Source organism: Homo sapiens, chromosome 3 (genome assembly GCF_000001405.40).
Source record: "Homo sapiens chromosome 3, GRCh38.p14 Primary Assembly".
Taxonomy (NCBI): domain Eukaryota; kingdom Metazoa; phylum Chordata; class Mammalia; order Primates; family Hominidae; genus Homo; species Homo sapiens.
The window spans coordinates 2,306,457-2,330,316 of record NC_000003.12 but is presented as its reverse complement, the minus strand read 5'-3'; the positions used below and the strand labels follow the sequence as shown (position 1 = coordinate 2,330,316).

At 34.8% G+C, this 23,860-nt stretch overlaps 1 protein-coding gene across 31 annotated transcripts in view; it reads right to left on the bottom strand.

Moving 5' to 3' along the window:
• Positions 1–23,860, bottom strand: part of CNTN4 (contactin 4) — a 959,094-nt gene that overhangs the window by 727,643 nt on the left and 207,591 nt on the right. Inside the window, exon 1 of one of the 31 annotated variants that reach the window (XM_047447516.1) lies at positions 10,722–11,463. The exons of 29 other annotated variants lie outside the window; for them this stretch is intronic. The gene's annotated coding sequence lies outside the window, so the exon portion shown is untranslated. Of the gene's footprint in view, positions 1–4,582; positions 4,938–10,721; positions 11,464–23,860 lie in introns of those variants that run through there. One more of the 31 variants, XM_047447534.1, reaches the window with a different exon arrangement.

Genomic DNA, 23,860 nt, shown 5'->3' with positions numbered 1-23,860 from the left:
CTGGAGAGCTTCCATGTTGCCCAACATGTGGAGGTGCTTGGGGATGGAAGATCTGTGCTCCTTCGCACATACCTTTTCCTATGCATTTCTTCCATCTGGCTGTTCATCTGTATTCTTTATAATATCCTTTATTATAAACCAGTAAATATAAGTAAAGCACTTTCCTGGGTTCTGTGAGCCACTCTAGCAAATGGCTGAACCCAAGGAGGCGGTCATGGGAATCTCTAATTTATATCAATTGGCCAGAAGTTCTGGGGAGCCCGATTTAGGACTGGCATCTGAAGTAGGGGGCATTCACGTGGGACCGAGCTCTTAACATGTGGGTTCTGACTGTAACTCCAGGTAGACAGCATCGGAATTAAATGGAATCATAACTATGTACCTGAAAATGGATGTGTCAGAAATCAAAACCCACACATCTGGTCAAAAAGTGTGGCATGTTTAGTGTAAGTAGAGAGAAACGTTTGTTTGTTCCTTTACAGCCTCATAAGGGCTGTTAGGAGGACTACATAAATTAATGCTTATTAAGTGCTTTTAATTTTTCCTGGTACAAAGCAAAGGCTGTTTTTAATAAAAAAAAATGCCTCAATAAGGCAGAGTGTATTATCTCATTTTATAGATGTGATAACTAAAGTTCTGTGAGTCAAAGTAACTTTCCCCAGTTATCACTGGTTTCTCTACTTGAGTTTTTTGTACTGCACTGCCCTGGTGCTCCTAGACTGTAGTGGGCCTCATTCCTGGTGATTGCCATTTGAGTGCTTAACTCCTTTGCTTTAAAGACAGAAGGGTTAATTACACAGGGATATATTTTTGAAAAGGAATATGTCTAAAACAAAATGTAAGGTGTAAAGCATGACCTGGCTTTCTTCGTTGAGCGTTTATCCTATATGCACTAGATAACTATGCAGTGGGTGACATAATGGCGTTTAGAAGTGAAGGAAACATGGTCTGGAGGCCTGAGAGGCTCACAATTTGGCACTTCTTGGCAGAAAACATTTCCACTGACATAAGTGATTTGTATGTAGTAGAAACGATGGTGAGAGCTCTGAACTACAATTTCAGCCATGAAATATAGACATATAGGAGAAATCATAGTTTAAAAAATATGGTCATTGCACTTCTGCTGGTAGACAGTATTATTTTTATTTTGTAAACATTTGAGTTTAAGTTGATGTGTATTTATGTTACGCTTGTAAATATTTGCAAATTTATTTTTATGTTAATTTTCCATTTGTGAAAATTTTTATTTTATTATTTTCCATTTGTGAAAAATTTTACTTCTATTTATATTGATATAAACTTTCTTCATATCAAAAATTAGTTTAAAACCCAGTAGATTTATAGAAAATGGTAAATAGACAACATTAGAGATGGTAAGCAGCTATGTTAAGAAATATGGTATGCCCATGCCCAGGATTTGGAGAATGCAGTCGTCCCTTGGTATCCACATGGGATTGGTTCCAGAACCCCCTGCAGATGCTGGGGTCCCTTATATAAAGTGATGTCGTATTTACATGTGACTCCTGCACACCCTCCAGTATATTTTAAATCATCTCTAGATTACTTATAACACCTAATACAATGAAAATGCTATGTAAATAGATTTTATACTGTATTTTAACATTTTTGTTATTTTTTATTGTTTTTTTTTTCCAAACATTATTGATCCGCAGTTGGTTGAATCCGCAGATGTGGAACCCAAGGATATGGAGGGCCAACTGTATACGTGTAAGGAAGAAAATATTTCTAACTCCTATCAATGTTCATGGCTAAAGCCCCTACAACAAAAGATAGATTAATAAGAGAAATGCATACAATTAATTTAACGTAAGTTTTACATGATGCGAGATTATTCAGAAATGCATAATTAAAGACCTGGGGAAAACTGTGTTTTTTATTTTTTTATTTTTTGAGACGGAGTCTCGCTCTGTCGCCCAGGCTGGAGGGCGGTGGCGCCATCTTGGCTCACCGCAAGCTCCGCCTCCCGGGTTCCCGCCATTCTCCTGCCTCAGCCTCCCGAGTAGCTGGGACTACAGGCGCCCGCCACCACGCCCGGCTAATTTTTTTGTATTTTTAGTAGAGACGGGGTTTCACCGTGTTAGCCAGGATGGTCTCGATCTCCTGACCCCGTGATCCGCCCGCCTCGGCCTCCCAAAGTGCTGGGATTACCACGCCCGGCCAAAACTGTGTATTTTTAATGGACAGCCGTGCAGAAGTATGATTGGAAGACAAAAGGGTATAATATAACAGTAATAAACCAGGAAGAACTTAGCAAATTCTGTTTGTTCAAATTCTTCTTGGCAACCATGTGTGATATTGCTTTCCTCTGGGTATAAGTCAGGACTCCTCCAGATGAGGGTCTTATGACCTACTTCAGTGGGGAAGGGGTGAGGGGAATTCTTTCTAGTTTGTATGGTCTGCTTTGGCTGTTTCCTCAAATGCTAAGATGCCATGTTTTGGGGTAATGAGTCCTGAACACTGTCACCTATATATGAAACAGGAGATTCTACATGAGTAATCAGATCTGGAACTCCAGAATAGGGGAGGTTCCAAATATAGTCCCTGCTTTTTGCTAGGAACATCTATTTATTCTGGCATTTGGAGGAAGATCACTAGTTCCCACCACTGCACTAAAGAATGTGTGTCCTTTTCCATATATATGTATCACTATTTATGTTCCTTAATGAGATCTGCATTATGGTTTTCTTTAAAGGGAAGGACTAAGTATACCATGACACATTTTTGAAAGGAAATACATGTAAAACATATATAAAATATAAGGCATGACCTGGTTTTCTTTCCTAAAGAGGGAGAGATGCAAAAGCCAAGTGCCTCCTGAACGCTAAAACAAATATAAAATAAATCTTAAAGATCCATATGTGTTTACAATATCATAGACTATTTCTCCATTACCATGAGGAATGAGATGGAAACTAAATAGCATAAGGAGGATGAAATAAATAATATTTTGCCACTTTACTGAATTGAGCTACACACACAATAACTTCCAGGATTGATTTCTTGACTAATTTTGAAGCAAAATCCATCAATTTGGAAATCCATGCACAAATACATGAAGAATGCAAACATTTCCTACTCACTGGGAAATACCTTTATCCTTTTGGAAAATAAGCTTGGCACTTTATAGACACACACACACACAAACACACACACACACACACATCTATTCCCAGGAGTCTGTAATTCTAGACCAACTTGATGAAATTTCCCCAAATTACCACAGATCAGTTGTGGCTTAACTGAACTCCAGGGTAGGCAATGCTACATTTAAAACACTTTGAAAATTATCTTTCCTACCTACATCTTTGTAGGTGGGAAGTTGTTTTATGGATACTCAAGTCCAAGGAAGCTTTATAGGTAGAAAATTGATTTATGGATAGTCAACTAGTAAGAGGATAGGCCTCGGAGTTAGAAAAAGGCTGGCTCAAATTCTAGCTACTTTATTTACTTCTGTAGGACCCTGGGCAAAGTATTCTTTCTTAGCTTTGATTTCTGCGTTTGTAAAATGGAGACAATAATACCTTCATTGCCCAGGGGCTCACAGACAGTACTAATTCAAAAACAGTTACAGCCATTCCTATTCTTGCTTCAAGTAAAACCTATTTCCCTATTCTGTCCTTGTAAGGCATCCAGTGACCAGAAGGAATGAGTTCTCAGACTGAAGAAGTTATAGAGATCATTGCTTAATTTATGCGATAGTATATTTCCTTTACAGTTTGTGTAATCTCCTGTAGCAGAGTTCTCCAGAGAAACAGAATCAGTAAGATTGTGTGTGTGTGTGTGTGTGTGTGTGTGTGTGTGTGTGTGTGTAAATTTATTAGAAGGAATTGGCTCACACAATTAAGGAGGCTGACAAGTCCCAAAATCTGCAGGGTGAGTCAGCAAGTTAGAGGCCCAGGAGAGCTGACAGTCTATTTCCAGTCCAAGTTCAAAGGCCTGAGGCCCAGTAGACGTGAGATGCTGTATTTCCAGTCTGAAGGCTGACAGGTGTGAGACCTAGGATGAGCCAATGTTTCAGTTTCAATCTGAATGCAGGAAAAAAGCCAATGTCCCAGTTCAAAGGTAGTAGGGACAGGGAAATTCTCTCTTCCTAGGGGAAGGTCACTATTTTGTTCTATTCAGGCCTTCAGCTGATTGCATAAGGCCCACCCACATTTGGGAAAGCAACCTGCTTTATTCCATCTACTAATTCAAATGTTAATTTCATCCAGAAACATCCTCACAGAAATACCCAGACTAATAATGTGATCAAATATTTGGGCACTCTGTGGCCCAGTCAAACTGAACCATAAAATTAACCATCACATCCTCTAAAAGAAATATTTATTCTTTTCACTCTGTATCAAGTTATAATTTTCCCCAAAACAGGCTCAAATATTATAGGATAAGTATCACTTTTGTTGATAGCATATTTCTATTAGAAAATAAAGCATACACCTCTAATTAGGTATTTTTATTTCTAAAGTACACATATGTACTCTATTACTGATGTTATATACATAATGAAATATAAATCACAATCGTTTCAAATCACATAAAATATATAAATAAAAATTCTTACATTTTTCGCTACCCTTAAATGGCTATCTTGCCTATAATCCAGTATGTGTAGTGACCGCTGGTAAGTTCCTTGTTGTACAGCAAAGAGACATCTAAATACAGGAAAAAATGGGAAATTTTTAATTGTGAACATCCACTGGAGGGCTTGAGCTGAAAAGATTCTGTGGCTTTCACCGGGCTGGAAATGTTGGAGTTCTAAAAGCCATCGTGGCAAGAACTTGATGAAGACTCAGGTATTCAAGTAAGACCATAAAAACAAAAGGCGTTCTTAAAATTAGGGAGAATGCTAAAGAGTTTTAATTAATGGATTAGGTTTATTGATATTTACTACATTAGAAATTAAAATGGAAACTTCTAAAATACTTTTCAATTCATAAAATAACAGTAAGTCTATTACATATTAACATAAATAGCATGTTCAATGGGAAAATATTATATAAAGCAAAAAATAATGAGGAGGATAGCATGTTCTACATTTTTGTAAATCTCTCTTTAATGTCTGGCTTAATCATAGACAAATGGATCCTCCTATTTGCTTCTGCATTCGCTCTTATGTGACATCAAATGTCACGCAGCCTCTGGAAAACTCCACTGTATGCTTGTGAGAGACTGAGAGTGACAAAGGCAAATACCTTCTTAGTATTATTACAAAAATAGCTTTGATCTGACATCCATTTGAAAGTTTTCACTACCCCTTCAGGTTTCCTCGACCAGACTTTGAGAACTACTATAAGAGAATGTACATTTAAAGTAGAGGATGAATATCTCACTGAAAATAAGGGAATGAAAAACTGGGGGGAAGATTTTCAAAAAGAAATTGCAGCTTCATTTTGTCTTCAGAGTACTAAATAAAGCATCTCTGCTTTTGAGGTGGGGGGAGCACTCCTTATGATTGTTTGCGAGGTTGGAAAGTTGGGGGCTAGGGGAGGGTAGAAATTAGATGAGCCAGGCTTGTCCAGCCCCCTGGAGAAGTGCCTAGGTCAGAAGAACACTTAAGACTCAAGCAAACCCAAAAATGTTTTTCTCATTTTAATCTGTGGACATAGGGAAAGGTGATTCCTTTACCTTTTGGGGTAGGCTCAGGGTTCTCAGAATCAAGTTACTCCTGTCCTGGCTATAGATGGAGGGAAACAGATCTGGGACACAAAGAGAAACAGAAGCTAGCAGGGGAATTGTTCAAATCTCTGGATTTATAGAAATTAAAACTGAAACCAAGAGTCCTGACAATACCCAAAAGAAAGCACATTTTTAGATAAAACAGTCAGATTTTAAGTTACCGTCTTATGCTTCTGGATATAGGATAAAGGTATAACTCTGACGACAGTGTTATAACTCATAAACTTCATACTACACAATATATATGTTATGTAGAACAAAAGTATGAGTGTGAGTGTGCGTGTGTATCTTACAAGAAGCAATGCCATGGGAAGAAAATGCTGCAGACACATCCAGTTATTTCTTCTATCATTCTTCTCCTCTCACCACTCACTGCTTCAAAACCCTAAGCCTCTTTGAATTAGCCCAACACCCTGCCCCTGGGATTTCATGCCATGCTCTAAACTGCTCTTCTTGCCCCCTCCCCGCCAGAGGACACTAGACAATATCTGGAGACATTTTTAATTGCCATGGCTAGAGGAGAACAGATGTTACTGGCATCTAATAGTAGAGGCCAGGAGTGCTGATAAATATCCTATAATGAACAGGAGAGCTCCCCATAACCAAGATTTATCTAGCCCAAAATGTGAACAGTGTTGAAGTTGAGAAGCCCTTCTCTAGGAATAACCTTAGTTGGGAACCATTGTGTTAGTCCTGTCTCCACCAGCACTCTCTGGATTGCCAATGCACGGTACAGATTTCCAAAAACACACAAGCATATTATAGAGCCCAGTACTAAACTTTACTGTCTCCCAAAATTGTTTGTATTAGTATTGTATTGTTTATACTTGAAAGTAATGTAAATTTGAGTCAAGGCACTAAAGCAGCCCACATGAGTATACACAGCTATATGAGCATGCATGTACTTGTTTATTCAAGTCAGGGTTGCAATGAAATAGTTGCTTTGACCAAATTCTGCCAGGAAAAAAGAAAGCATCAAAGAAACTTAATTTAATGGTGGATATTTGTTTAGTTTCAAAACATGTTACGTGTTTGGGGGCACATCCCAACTTGACTACAAAAAAGAACAGGTGATCATTTAAATCTAAGAGCTACAAGCAATGGAAGAAGGAGAGACTTCTAAAAGTCTGTACAAATACTTCTAAAAGTCTGTAAAAGTCTGTACAAAAGTTAAGTAAACTTGAAGCAGCATGACAATTTAAGGGACGGATGTGCACTTTAATTTACCAGGTTCCATGAATCTCCATGAGACCATGGCACGCAACAACGTTCTCCCATTTTCTACAATTTCCAATCACTTGCCCTCTCCTGTGTGACTTTCCCTCCCCTGGCCATTTAGAGTTTGTGCTCCAGGGACAGACTAATGGGGCTTGATTTTGTTAGCTCAGCCGGCTTTCCTATAGGAGACTTCATCCTGTAATAATCATAGTTCCAGCGGTGCATGTCTATGAAATTAAAATGGAAGAGACCGATTCTTCAGGTATATGGTTGTTGTTATTGACAGTCATTCCAGATCAGTCTCTCCAGAGGCAAGAGAGCTCTTGCAAGAAAAATACCTTTGCTTATCAAGCTGAGGCTCTGTGTAGCTGAGATGGCAATTTTGGGCCTATATGACAGGAGTCAGACATGAACTAGAGCCCCCAGGAAAGTGAACTTCGGTAATCCTCCAGTATTCCATCAATGTGAAATCCACCAATCTGAGACAGCAACTTTTCCTCTATTTTAAAGATCTTAGAATGTTAAATAGGAAAAGAGCAACTTTTCCTCTATTTTAAAGATCTTAGAATATTAAATACACACAGCTAGTTGCTCAATAAAAGAAAAAGACACTTAACAGCATATTTCAGATAATTAGATGCTTAGTATTTTAGTTTCTAAGTTTCTGTTCACTTTTTAAAATTCAGTATACATTTTATTGTGGAGAGCTAACATAATGTAAAGTCTGCATTTTAGCCACTTTTAAGTGTACAATTCAGTGGCATTAAGTACATTCACAAGATTGTGTCACCATTGCCATTATCCATTTCCAACACTTTTACATGATCCCCAATAGAAAATCTGTACCCATTAAAAAAATAACTCCCCAGCCCCTGCTAACCACTATTATGCCTTCTGTCTTGCTGAATTTAACTACTCTGGGTGCCTTACATGTGATATTTGATATAGTTATTCATCCTTTTGTGTCTTGCTTATTTCAGTCAGTTAGTGTTTTCAAGGTGCGTCCATGTTGTAGCAAGTATCAGAATTTCATTCCTCTTTAAGGCTGAATAAAATTCCGTCCTATGTTTACACCATGTTTTGTTTATCCATTCACACATTGATGGACATGTGGGTTGTTTCTACCTTTTGGCTATTTTAAGTAATGCTGCTGTGAACATTGATACAGAAGTATCTGTTTGAGTCCCTGCTTTCAAATTAAATTTTGATTCATTTTTGCTCGTTTAAAAATACAACCTTACAGCTATAAAGTGTTACAAAATAGATAGAGTAATCTAATGTATACTTTATCATACAGACAATCCTATGTGACCTTGTGGCATAAGTAGAGAATTTTTTCATGTATGAACACTGCTCCTGAGGGCATTTAACTTATTTTCCAAAGCACATAAAATAAATAACTACAGGTGTTGGTAATGTTCTTTCCTCTGTTTGTGGTTTCCCACAGTGCCTGGTTTATATTAAGGATCATGAATGTGGGTTTTTAATACACAAATACTACTATATTTTGAAGCAGCTCACTGTTACTTACCAAAGGTTAAGTAAAAATGAAGGTCAAATCATGTCACTAAATATGACTCCTTTCTCTCTTATAACAGGAATACCCAAGTGACAGAGAAGAACTGGACATAAAGGATTCTGAAGTTTATGTGACCACAAATGACTTTCCTAACCACATCCATGTATTAATTCAATTGTTTTACAAAGAGAAACCTGAGATACTAGGTCGTCTAACATCAAGACCTCCGAGACAATCTGGCTTTGACAAGACTAAGTATGAAAAGAGAATAAATTTAAAGCTGATATGAAGAAAAAATAATAAAATAATAGTACTGAAAACCCAAGTGATTGAAAGTGACAATAATGGCATGCTAAAGAGGACAAATTTGGAAACCTCTTAATAAAAATCTCTTCTCATTTAAACAGCTACAGAATTCCACAATTTTGGGAGCTATTTACTAAGTACAGGTCACTCTGGAAAGATTCTTTAACCCTCAGGACAGTTCTGTGGGGACAGCCTTATTATTTCCATTTAAAGCTAAGGAAACTAAAAGTTTAAAATAATTTTCATGGGGGTACATGGCTAATAAATGGTGGAGATGAGATTTGAACCCATATCTATGTGACTCCTGAGTTGAAGTTTTTTACCACTATACTATCTAGAATTGTTCTAAGCCACATTTCACAATTGAGATAATGCTTCAAACAAAGACATGTTTATAAGGGGGATAACAATTAATGTGCTCTGTGAATTAAAATGGGTCCCTTCAGAGCTATAGGACAGAGCTTCTTCAGACTGCTTTGAACAGAGCCCAAATTATCTGCTATTTCCACTCTGAGAATTCAGCCACCCAACAAGGGTCTATCTGAAATAATCTATCATTTCTCTTTGAACTCTCCCATGAGATCCTAATGGTGGCTGTTTCCACTGAAATAAAAATATTTTAGGAATGATAGTAATTCCAGGATATTTTTTAGAGTTTCACTGCTGCTGTTATAATTATTCCTAATTATAACTGTTGTTTCCCTTAGAGCAAATAAACACAGATGTACTTATGCTGTTCCCTTAAAGAAAGAGGTTAATGGTAATCTATAAAGAAATTATCAACCAAATGTGCACTCATGTATTTCTTTTTCCTATGTACTGGCATTAATAATTTCAGAAGTCATCAGCATGCATGGTTCTGAGTTCACATTGATATTTGCTTCGGGATAATTTATGGCAGCCAAAAATGACACAAACAACTTAGAACAGCAGTCATCATGAAAATGGTAAATTAAAATGGGATACTGACTGATGTCTTATAGAAAATTAATGTGCCATTAACCTTAACTATACCAATAAAGTTACATTATGAAGGTCAACTACAAGAACAGTTATCCACCTGGGATACATAGCAAATAGCATAGATTGATTCTATGTTAAGGTGGGACGCTGAGGTTAAAAGGGAAAGGTAAATGAAGCCAAATATTAAGGCCAGGTTTAAATAAAAATCACAAATTTAGGCACATAACCTAATATTAGTTCAGGATTTCCTATCTTATATTACTATTTCTGTTATAATTCATCTTGATTACTTTTTATTAAGTAGCTTCAGTCAGTTTCTTTCTGTATATAACATTAACACATCTAAGTACACTTTCAAGTAGCAAAACATTTTAGAGCTTGAAAGGTCACTAAACGTAATTAAATCCCCCCACTTCTCATTCTAAACATGAGAAAACAAAGAGCTCAAACAACAAAGATGCTTAAGAACAAATTCAGTCTAATTTTCATTCCAGAATTATATCCCCAACAGCCTGATTGATTCTTGTTTCAGCTATATTCTCTTTGCTAAGGCACTTTCTCCTTTGATTCTCCAACTCTGACAGATTGTAGAAGTCCAGGATTTTTAACAAGTAAAACGGAGGTAATAATGCCTAATATAAGCATTTATTATGATGGGCAAAGAAAATGTTCTTTAAGAGCACGCTTTAAAATTGTTAAAGGCTATACATGTATTACTATTACAAATGAGGGACTTGAAAAAGTTTAATTCTCTTTTACAGGGTCTCTATATACACCAAAAAGAATATACAGTTGCCCCTTGAACAACGAGGAGGGTAGGGGTACCAACCCCCATGAAGTCAAAAATCGGTGTTTAATTTTGACTGTTCCAAAACTTTAATAGCCAACTATTCACCAAAAGTCTTACCGATAACATAAACAGTCAACACATATTTTGTATCTTATATGCATTATTCTTACAGTAAAGTAAGCTAAAGAAATGTTATTAAGAAAATCATAAGAAAGAGGAAACATTTACTTTTCATTAGGTGGAAGTGGATCATCACAAAGGTCTTCACCCTCATCATCTTCAAGTTGAGTAGGCTGAAGAGGATGAGGAAGAGGAGGGATTAGTTCTGCTGTCTCTGGGGTGACAGAGGTGAAAGAGATGGAAGGCGAGGCAGGAAAGGCAGGCACCCTTGGTGTAACTTTTATTTTAAAAAATGTGGGTATTAGTGGATTCATGCAGCTAACGTTGTTCAAGGGTTAAGTGTTCTGGCTTTCAGATTTTAAAAATGTGTTTTTTAGGCAATGTTCATCCAACTTACTGGCTATGATTCTTGAATATCTCTGGATATTACAGATGTGTAAAATCATAACTGTAATATTTATCTTATGTGGTACTTGTGAATGTTAAATAATATATATAAAATATTTGAGATGATGCTAAAAGCCTAGTATGCATTTGATATATATTGATTAATATTAATTTTCTTTCCTCTTCCTTTTGAATCGTCCTTCCTTCTTTTGACTAGGTATAATAAAATTGCAAAATTCTAAATAGTAGTAACAGGCAAGAACAAATTTGGATTTACAAAACAATTTTATTAGAAGAGGGAATTAGTTAACTGGCCCCTCCGTAAAATAAACAGCTAGGTGCAGTGACTCACATCTATAATCCCAAAACCTTGGGCGTTTTGGGGATTATCCCAAGTGGGGTTATCCCCAACTTGGGCGGCCAAGTGGGGAGGACTGCTTGAGCTTAGACATTCAAGACAAACCTTGGCAACATAGCAAGACTTTATCTCTACATTAAAAAATAATAATAATAGCCAGGCATAGTGGCATGCACATGCAGTCCCAGATACTTGGGAGGAGGAGGCAGGAGGATCCCTTGAGCCCAGGAGGTGGAGGGTGGAGTGAGCTCCACTGCACTCTGGCCTGGGTGACAGTGGGAGACCCTGTCTGAAAACACACAACACAACACACATGCATACACACAAAAAAACCAGACGTATAAAATAAAAAGTAAATCTGCACACAGAGACAGTACTACACATCCTGAAGCATTCTCATTTAAAATACCTGCAGCTCTCACATGTTAGGAGGAGAGTAATATACAAACATCTTGATTAATTATACAAATGCTTCAATGAAGAAGAATATAGTCATTTCATTCAAGAGAAAGGAATCCTGATGTGTCAAAAAGAACACTTTGCTATATCCCTGTAATTCTGACAATTCCTGATGGAGACAGGGCCAACCTCTTCTGGAATAAGCTTACTTTCTGGTAAGAACAGTTCTTATAGTGTGTTTTTCTAGCATATTATATATCTTTTCCTATATAGTATACAGTGAAGGGTCTAGTCACATGATTACATATCAATATACACATACTCTTTTTTTTTTTTTTTTTAGGGACAAGTTCTCGTTACCCTGCCCAGGCTAGAGAAGTTATTCACAGTTGCAATCATCACACACTGTGGCCTCAATATCATGGGCCCAAGCAGTCCTGCTGCCTCAGCCTTCCAAGTAGCTGGAACTACAGGCGAGAACCACAGAGCTCGGCGTCTTAAACTCTTCGTTTTAACATATCAAATCATGCCATCTAAGATTAATATTCAAGTTAATTATAACTTAAATCTAAAGAAATACAAAGCAATGGGGAAAATGCAGACAAAAGACTAAGTGTTCTGTTGAATCCTGTAAGTCATACCAAAGGCATCTATATCGTTGATGCAAAAGTAAGATAACACTTTCAAACGACGTTAGTCTTCTCAGAAAAAAAGGGATGCCAGCTCTCTGGGACACAGACTCTGAGTTCTAGCACATCAGTCGTTTTAAAGAAATTAGTAGCATGCTGTGTTTGGTTTCCTGTCTCCTACCTAGCATTTTACAAACTGTACCAAAGCACAAAGTGTAACAGCTCCAATTTCTTTCACAGCAGCTGCACTGTGTGAGAAAAATTGACAGATTAACTAGAAGAAAGACTTCAAACTCACTATGAACTATGACTGTCCATTAGAACGGAATGGTAGGCCAAAGAGTACACATAAAGAAATGCCTCGGTGATCCACTGCACAACGAACCAATGGGTATGATAATGCTCTTCAGGATTTGTGTGTGAGAGGGAGCGCGAAATCCAGGAATGATAACCTGCACAATTTTGCTTAGAACTCACTCTGGGTGAGGACAAAGATCAGGAGTTGAAAAGTAGCTATTGATTTTTCTGAGTGTTTTGGTTATTATTTTGATGAATCCTCTGCCCGCTAGCTTCTTCTAACAAATAAACTACACTAAACAAATTTGGTCCTTGCATAAATTAATGAGATTGAGTTAAATGAAACCCCAACTCCATCACAAACAAGTACCACTGTTAATTGAATTCAGATATGCAAACTTGTCTTCTTTATGATAATCCATCAGGTCTAGATTCAGCGGGCAACGCTAATCCTTGCATTTATACAGACATTTACAGTGTGCTTCAGAAATATTTGCCATGTAGTCCATACAATTATGCTAACAAAATAGGTAGTATTGATAGTGTTACAAGTATTTAAGAGAGGTCTGAGAGCTTAAACATGGTGCCTAAAGGCAGGGGCCACTAGAATGGTGATAGTGTGCATGTATGTAGAAAGAAAGGAAGGCATGGGGGAAGGAAAATGAAGTCACAAAAGGGAAATTAGAGGAAGAAATATATGGGATCACTGTCAACTTAATTGGTGTGTGTTTTTCCTTTTGAGTTACTTATTAAAAAGGTTTGCATCAATAGGCATTTTAAAGAAAACCATGGATAAATGAAACCTGTCAACTGGCAACTGTAATGTGTACATTACTAAGGCGAGAACCACAGAGCTCGGCGTCTTAAACTCTTCGTTTTAACATATCAAATCATGCCATCTAAGATTAATATTCAAGTTAATTATAACTTAAATCTAAAGAAATACAAAGCAATGGGGAAAATGAAGACAAAAGACTAAGTGTTCTGTTGAATCCTGTAAGTCATACCAATGTGATAAGCAATGTTTTACACTGTTTGGATAAATGAAAGGGATAAAAACATCAACAGACTGTATCTTATGCCTCAGTCTTGCAGGATTCTCTTAAGAAAAAGACTGCCCGAATATTCTTTATAAACCTTAATTTATTGATCTATTTAAATTAGTTCAATAAATTAACTAATTGAGACTAATAAAAGTTTCAAATTGGCAACTTACTATTTGGGACTTTTTCTGCAGTCATTTAGTGTAATTTGAGCTTTCAAAAATTTTTAAGTACAATAGATCAGTGGGGGGAAATGCCTCAAATACATCTTGATAAAGCATGTCTTTAAAAACACATTTTATTGTCAGACAGATGAATTAATATATAGAGATCAAATAAAATAAAAGACTCTATCTGCTAGAGTACTTAATATCTATTAACAATCCACCAAATATTCTACTGTTATTTCCATTTATTAATTTGTTCATTTCACCATAATCATCATGAGATTATGATATAAAAATAGAACCTGTGTTCATCATAAAAGATGACCCACATCTTCAAAATCAAATAAAACACAAGGATGAGACATTTGGGAGGTGACATTTTTTTCAGTGAAGAAACGGTAACAATATAACCAAATAATACCAGAAGTTAGAAGTCTCAAGATAAATAAGTTTTTGACTAAGTGATATTTGGGATTGGCATTAAGAAACTCTGAAAATATTCAACAAACATTCATCAAAGGTCATATATATGTTCAAGGAATTCTGCCTTATAAATATATTAAACATGTGGATGTAATTTTTTAAGCCAAATTTTTAAAAGTTTTATATAGATAGTAACATAATTCATAATTTCTAGTTAATAGCTCCAAGACTCAACACTAGTTAAATGTCTTACTAATGTTCATTACTGGTAAAACCAGAACTTGATTGATTCAAAGCCTTCTGATTCTAGGACGCATAAATTTATCTAGCACATTAAAAAAATGAATTGGCTAAAAATGGGCCAGTTCAGGGTGTCTCAACATATTCTCCAGTTACATATTTCAGTAACCTTTTTACTTCTGATTATAACAGTCTTATTTCTGAGGAAAAAAATAGAAAAAAGCAAAAAGCATAAATAGAAAAATAGAAATCTCGTAAGCCCACCATTAAAAAAAATAATACTGTTAACATCCTTATTAATAACCAAGCTGGATATCCACTGTTTTCGCCTACCAAGTGCCTCTCTTTACTTCAGATAACAGCATCCCACTTCTCGTTTGGGAAACTGATGAATACATGTTGGATGAGTGTCAACAAGACAGCCCGTCTAAAGTTTTCACCTTAATTCATACAAGTGGCAAAAATTACCTAAGTTAAATCAATTGGTCACTTTCTCTACTAGAAATTCTCATTTCAAGAGAAGTTACTTATTATAGCGTGCAAAAAAAAAATGGAGCTGATTTATGCTCAATGATATTGACTAACTTTCAAATTCCTTCTACATAGCTGTTCATAGCTAATTCTTTTAATTCTGTGAACTGTCCTATACATTTCCAATAAAGCTCCTTTTGTTTTTGTATGCATGTTTCTTTTTGATGTACATTTCAGTGGATTTTATTATTTAAATTAAAAACTCTTAGGAAATATAAAATAACATGTTTATTGAAAACCTCTGAAACAGTGGGCATTAATTTTTCTTTTTCCTGTTTACCAATTTGATACCTGAAACATGATATAATAACTTAAATGAACAGTTCATTGATTAACACTGAAGCTGTTAAGAAGCTCTCTGTATTTCTTATTCTTCAAAATTGATTGTTCATATTTTGCTGCTTAATTGATATGTCATTTGCTTATTAGATTTAGAGATATCGCAATTTTTTTCCGTTTAAGATTTGCAAATTTTTTCTCATTTTGTTAATAATTGTAATTGTATTTCTTTTACATTTGTATCAAATTACTACAGTATTAAATCGATAGATATCTCATTTTATCCTTTTTTTTAAAGAAAGGCTCACCTTATCCCCAAATCATATAGTTACCTTGTTTGTTTGGATTCTGTTGTAATTATATATTTAACATTTATTCCTTAATAAATCTGAGTTTCATCTGATATACAGGGAGATAATGATTTGCCCTACCCTTTCACCTATTATCACATCATGCTCATATAATCCACATTTATACAGCTTCACCGAAATGCCAACCTCAACAGAAATTCACTTCTAATATGTATGTAGGTCAGTTTCTTGACCTTTTCATTTGTCTAATCCATCTAATATTATATAAACATTTCATTAAAAAATTTTTTTAGTTATTTTCGAAACTCCCTTGGCTACCCTTGAATATTATTCCTCCAGTTGTACTTCAGGATAATTTTAGAATTCTAATATATATACATATGTATGTGTGTGCATGAAACTAAATTCTGTATCATATTTAACCTTCCCATTTTATTGAAACTTCATGTTCTTTGGCAAATTATTATGGCTTCTGTCACATAAGAATTGGACATCTCTTGTTAAGTCAATTCATATGAATTTTATACTTTGTTGTTATCAATTTTAATTGTACACTCTTGTTTGTTTTTGACAAGAAAACTGAAATTAAATAAAAACAGTACATTTTAAAAGGTGTTATAAAACATGTATTTTTAGTTTAAAGTTTTCAGATTCATAGGTATAAATAAGGGCATAATCATATTTCTTATAGGCAGAAATAACTTTATATGCTTTTCCAATTTTACAGTTATTCCTTTTTCATCTCTTACTAGACAGAAAAACTTTAAGAATCACTAAGTTAAACAAAGTATAAGGGAAGCATCCTTTATTTTGGGGGGTATTTGGTGGGTATGCCTGAAATGCTTTCTCCTTAAGTACTATATTGTCTTAGGTTTGCGTCATATAAAGTATCAATCTATTACTACACTACTAATTATTTTTGTTACTCTATAGTGTTTTTCAGTCAGGAATGGTTAAGAAAGTATATCAAACATATAGTTGGGAGTGACTGTATGAGCATGGCTAATGGCTAACAGGGGTTTCAGAATCACCACCCCACCTCCGGCCCTGATATTTATTCTGAGCGTCAGATTCTGTTTCAGGTGTTTAAAATTATGCTGCTTGGTAAAGGACACTTTTCAGTTTTTCCTCTATTTCTGAATCAATTTTTTTACCATAAAATTGCTTATCTGTTAATAATTTAAAGTGGTTTATCCATTAAGATGACAGCACACTGCATTTTTTTGGAGGTAAAAATGACAACTTTTCAGGGTTTCTTTTCCTAGGTTATCTTGTTTATTAATGTTTTTAAACATGAGTTAATTTATATAATTTGCATTGATAAAAATATTATCCATTTTCCTTAATATTTTTAATCCCTTCAGTATTGATATAACCCCTTCTTATAATGACTATATTTTTGTTTTTCTGTACAAGACGTTTAAACAGTTTATGTACGTCTTGCTTTTAAGTAATAGTTCTTGGATCTATCTAATCTATTTTCTGTTGTTTTCTATTTTTTGTTTCTATTTCTTGATCATTATTTAATCATCTTTTAATTATTTTACTTACTCCAATAGTTTTATTGTCTTTTCTAACTTTTCAAGTTGAACATTACTTCATTTTATTTACAATATGTCATGTGATAACTTTTTTAAGGCTATATATATTTGCCTGAAGATAAAATTTTTGATCCTAACTCACAGATTTTCACACAGTGTTTTTATTTTTGTTATGTTCTTAATAACATATAACTCCAGTTTTCAATGTTATTTCCTATCATAGCAACGAACAGCACACATCCATAAATACAAGCCACCACACAAACACACAGAAACATACACGTAAAAACAGTTTAAAAATCCAAAAGGGCCTAAAACACCCATCTTAGGTCAATCAACTGGAAACACTGGTTTCTCCAACATTTGGAAAAAAAAGTTTATTTTTTTCAAAAGCTGTGTTCTTTATACTCATAATGTGATTTATAGTTTCAAAAAGCACAAGTATTCCAAAACGCACCATTTTTTTTATTATTGGAAAGGACCAAACCATCTGTGTCACAATGGATGTCACATAGAGAGGCATGTGTTCCTACTTTAGATTTCAGGATCTCCTGGGAGAAGTTTCTCCTGGCTCACTGGGATAAGAATTTTTCATAGATCTTTGTAACAAACTGGCCAATGACTAAGAAGTTTACACCAGCAAGATTTGCTTAGTGATAGTCCAATATTAACAGCAAAAATAAATGCAATTTACTTGACTTTTATGCTGTATGTCAAATGTTGGTTGGCAGTGTTTGATTGCCCTAATTATTCAGGAGGATGAAAACTATTTAATATTAATAAACATTTCTGAAATCTCCACAACATTAATAAAAGGAGACCTAGCAACTGGTTTTAAAACCTGCCATCCTGTTGTGATTCATGTTCTTTCCACTGGTATTCCACTGGTCATAGCAATATGTTTGGCCTCACGAGGTGTGCACCACTATACCTGGCTAATTTATTTTTTGTAGAGACAAGGTCCCACTATGTTACTCAGGCTGATCTTGAACTCCTGGGCTCAGTGATCCTGCCGCCTTAACCTCCCAAAGTGCCATTTTTATCTTAAAAAAAAGTTTTATCGTATCAAAAAAAAACTCTCACTTTTTTCTTAATTAGTTTCATTCATCCATTTAATAAATATTTATTACGTGCTTACAATATGTCAGATACACATCCTTAAGAATCCTCCAAAACTCTATAACTCAGGAAAATATCTAAGGGTTACCTAAGAAGTTCTGTTTATCTTTAAATGAAGGACAAAGAGTTTTAAGAAGGAAACGTAATTGCTTGGAAAACATGTTTCTATTCAACCATTTCCCATACAAGCAATTTTCTAAATAATGATCTAATCATACAGTTTACAAAGTATTATAAATGTGCATAAGCCTTTCCTTGACATAATGAGCTACCTATACAGACAGTAGATTAAATGCACACTACAAACTACTCTTAGCATGCCGGATCAGTGAAGAAACCTATTAAAATGCTATTCCTGCTGAGTGACCAAAAGGAACATCAGTTATTTGTTCTCACAGGTGCACAGCTGCATTCTCTGTCAAGAATGCTTCAAGTAACACGCTTTATACTACTTTTACTTCAGATGATTAAAAAGTAGATTGGCAAAGAATCATTAAAAGCTTCAGTAGAAAGAAAACCCAACAGTTCCAGTATCAGTGGAAGGTTTCTTTATGCTTCTTGTCAAGTATGATTCTGTTTGATATATTTTTAATGGCTACAAGAAAAATAATGAAGCAAATTAAAATCAATATAAAATTACAAATCAAGGTACTATTCTAGGGTTGACGGAAAGACAGAGGCAAGAGTATTTCAAATCAAGGGGGAAAAATTCATCATTAACTCAATCTGCAATGCTTTACTTTCTGAAGAGACTATGACTCATTCTTGCTACTACTGCTAGGCAGGACAGGTTGAATCAGGAGTGGGGAAACAGTCTTTAATTAGAAATTCATTGAATTTTGTCAGATCCAATAAGACATTAATGTTATTTCAGGGGGAAAGGTAGGTGTGTTTTTATTCTGTTTGCTTCTGATTCGGATATTTTCATTCCAGGCCACATTCCTTAGCTGTTATTTTTCATTCTTAAAAAATAAAAAAGTCTGGAAAACAGGAGGATAAAGTCAAGGGAGTCTTTTTGTTTATAAATCAAATGTGAAATTTTCAAAACACATCTACTGCTTTGAAAGACAGGTTGAATAGCTATCATTTGAGAGTTAACCGGATTTGTGCACTCAAGCACTGGCAGTAAGACAATTTTTCAGTATTCAAATGCAATCCTTTTATTTCTGTATTATAATAGAAAACAAGTGAGAGCACAGAACGAGTGAGTTTTAGGTAGTGGAGGGTTAAAAGCCTTTCATATACACAGATAATCATGGTAATTTTAGTTAAACTATCAAACAACACCTGAAGTCTCACAGGTGCTCGATATGCCATTGGGGTACAAGTGAAGCCATTTTTAAAAGGGAACAAGTAATGGTGTAGGTTTTAGGTCAAACATTACCTGCAGATGATGGCATAAAACTAAAAATAAGGAGAAAGTGTGATGAGGTAGCATGTGCTGAGGTGAAAAAGTGGGAAGGCGGTCCCTTATGCTGCAAATGTCTCCATAGGCTTTGTAAATCATAGAGGACATCACTTTTAGGGATAGCAAACAACAGACATTCTGCATTGTGACATAAAATAAAGCCATTCTCCCTTGTGCATGCTGTACTGACTGAGAAAAATTTCTCATGCAGATCCCATAGCTCCACAGTGTCAGTCATAGCCAATGTTAGCCTGGGGGACTTTAAAAATGATCAAGGCTAATCTTTTCATTTTATAGAAGAGAAAACTGAAGTTTATAAGAGTAGGAAACTTGAAAAGCACCCAATAAATTAGTTGAGGGCTAAAGCCAAGTCATTTGTCTGTTGCTGTAATACTCTTTCCCCTTATCGTAATGTCTCAATCATGAGAACACAAATTCATCCATCCATCCATCTGGTACCAACAGCTCTAAGACTTAGAAACTACTGCAGTATTTGATTGGAGTCTGATAAAATTTGAACATATTCCACCTGAAAACTAAAATAAGTTGATATAAAAAGAGGTAGGGACATAAACATCACCAGCATACCATAAAGTATTTAATACAAGTAAGCTTTTACTATTTCTATTTCCCACTATTTTACAGATAGGAAATATTTATGTAAGTATCAGTAAACAACATATATGAAAGCAAGCATGCCAGAATTGAGCTGGTCCTGAGACTTTCCACATGTGGAAAACAGAGGTGGCAAATGGTTTCTCTTTGATTCCATGTGCTCATTAGACATAACTTGCTTGTTCCACAAACTATGTCTAATGTATTTTTTAAAAACTCTATTAGTTGTCAACATTAAAATATTGAAGTGTTCCAAAAACTTAAAAATTCTGATTTCCACTCATATATTAAAAGACCAAGCATCACTGGGACTCCATTCTGAAATGGCAACAATTACCTAAACAGGGTATAATACATCTGTCATTTCCCTGCCATGTGAAGGCCTGGACTGCAGGGATGTTGATGGAAATGGGGAAGAAACAAGAGTCGCAAACAAAAAGAAATAAGTCATATAAAAAACAAGTAGGAAACACAGGCATCAATATTACTTTGTAATTATAGCAAATATAAATATATTAAGCGCTGTAATTAAAAGGTAGATATTTATACACTGGCTTTTAAAAAACACATGATCTAACTATATATTGTCTACAACTGAAATATTTTAGGTTCAAAGACAAAAACAGGCTGAAAGTTAAAAGACAGAAAAGGACATATGCAAACAGTAACCAAAAAAAGAGCTGGAACAGCATTACTAATATCACACTTCAATACTTTAAGCCAAAAATTTTAGTACAGATGAACAGATTTTATAATGAGAAAAGGGTCAATCTGCCAGTAAAAAATAATACCTATAAACTTACACGCACCTAAAAAACAAAGACTCAAAATAGAGGAAGGGAAACTGATAGAAATGAAAGAAGAAATAGAAAATTCAACAATAATAGTTGAAAAGCTTCAAAATCCTTCTTTAAATAGTGGAAAGAAAATCAGACAGAAGATCAAAAAGGATCCAGAAGATTTAACACCATAAACAAACTAGACCAGCAAACAGGTATAGAACACTCCACTCCAAACAGTAGAATACACATTCTTCTTAAGTGCATTGAAAACATTTTTCAACTTAGACTGTAAAAGATCTACAGACTATATTTTATATACATTTTTCCTACATTTTAGAGATATTGAAATATTAACGGTTTTATAAATAATATAAAAAATGATACAACAAACTTCAATGAGTTTAAAAGGAATAAAATCATAAAACGTTCTCTGACCACAATAAAATTAAATTAGCAATCAAAACTAAAAGCAAATTTGGGAAATTTGTAAATATGTGGAAAATAAATAACTTATCCATAAATAACCAAGGGGTCAAGAAAAAAATCAAAAGGGAAATTACTTTCAGACTTTGAGATGCATGAAAATGATAACAGAATATGCCAAAACTTAAAAGATGAAGCTAAAGCTGTGCTTCAAAGAAAATGTAAAGCTTTGAATGCGTATATTTAAAAAGAATAAAAATTTAAAATCAATAACTTAACTTTCCACCTTGAAACCCTGGAAAAGAAGAGCAACAGAAGGGAGAAAATAATAAAGACTGGAGTAAAATATAAAGGGAATTGCAAACAAAAAACAACAGAAAAAAATCAATGGAACAAAAATTGGGTCTTAGAAAATGTAAATAAAATTGACACAACTTTAGCTAGACTGACAAAACAATTGAGAAAATTCAAAATCCTAAAATTGAGAATAAAAGGGGGGATAACAACAGAATTTACAGATATTTTAATAAAAAGGATTATAAGGCAATTACTATAAACCACTACGTTATCAACAAATTAGATAATTTAGACAAAAATAGAAAAATTCCTAGAAAGACAAAAACTACTGAAATTTATTCAAGAAGAAACAGAAAATCTGAATAACCCTGTGTCAAGGAAAGTAAATAAATTAGTAATCAAGAAACTTCTCATAAAAAAGTCCATGAGCAGAAGGCTTCACCGGTACATTCCACAAAATGTTTATTGAAATTCTTCAAAAACTAGAAGACAAAGAAACACTTCCAGGCTCATTACATAAGCCCATTATTACCATGATACCCAAACCAGACAAGAACATCATAAGAAAGCTACAAATTAATACTCCTTATGAAGATAGACACAAAAATTTTCAAGAAACCAAATCTAGCAACAGATAAAAAGAATTATGACCACAACAGATTATTCAAGTAAAGCAATGATATAGACCAGATTATTCAAGTAAAGCAAGATTAATTCAACATATAAAAATCAATCAATGTAGCACACCATATTAATACAATAAAGAACAAAAGCCACATGATCATTTGATACATGCATAAAAAGTATTTAAAAAATGCAACACTCTTCCATGATAAAAAAACACTCAAGGAACTAGAAAGGAAAATCCTTGGAAGGAAGATCCTAAACCTAAAAAAGGGCACCTGCAGAAATGGGCATCTCACAGCTAACATCATACTTATCAGTAAAAGATGAAAGCTTTTCCCGTGAGATCAAAAAGAAGACAAGAATGGTTGTCTTGCTATTTTTTTTTTTTTTTTTGAGATGGAGTCTTGCTCTGTCGCCCAGGCTAGAGTGCAGTGGCACAATCTCGGCCCACTGCAAGCTCCGCCTCCCGGGTTCACGCCATTCTCCTGCCCCAGCCTCCCCAGTAGCTGGGACTACAGGCGCCCGCCACCACGCCCGGCTACATTTTTGTATTTTTAGTAGAGACGGGGTTTCACCGTGTTAGCCAGGATGGTCTTCATCTCCTGACCTTGTGGTCTGCCCGCCTCAGCCTCCCAAAGTGCTGGGATTACAGGCGTGAGCCACTGCGCCCGGCCTTGCTATTTCAATTCAATTGTAGTGGAGGTCCTAACTAGGACAATTAGGAAAAATAAAATAAAATAAAATGTGCCTAGATTGGAAGGAATGAACAAAACTATCTCAATTTCTTCTACATAGAAAATCCTATGGAATCCACAGAAAATTTTAGATTTAATAAACAAGTTCAAGCAAAATTCTAGGATACAAGTTCAATATATAAATATAAGTTTTATTTCTATACACTAGCAATGAGCAATTCAAACATGAAATAAAAAAATTTCATTTAAAATATCAAAAATAATAAAATACTTAGGAACAAATTTAATAAAATCAGTATATTAAAGATGTGTACACTGAAAACTAGACAACATCATTGAAAGAAATTTTAAAAAGACCTAAATAAATGGGAAGACATCCCGTGTTCATGGAATGGAATATTTACTAGTGTTAAGATTGCAATACCTCCAAATTGATTTACAGATTCTATGTAATCCTTGTAAAAGTTTAAGGTTGTTGTATTGCAGAAATTATAAAGATGGTCCTTATATTCATATGGAAATTCAAGACGCTCCAAGTAACTGAAACATCCTGAAAAAAAACAATGTCTGACGACTTAGACTACATAGCCAAAATATATCCAGAATATATCAAGAACTCTTATAATTAAATATTGAAAAAAGACCCAGTTAAAAAATAGACAAAAATTTGAACAGA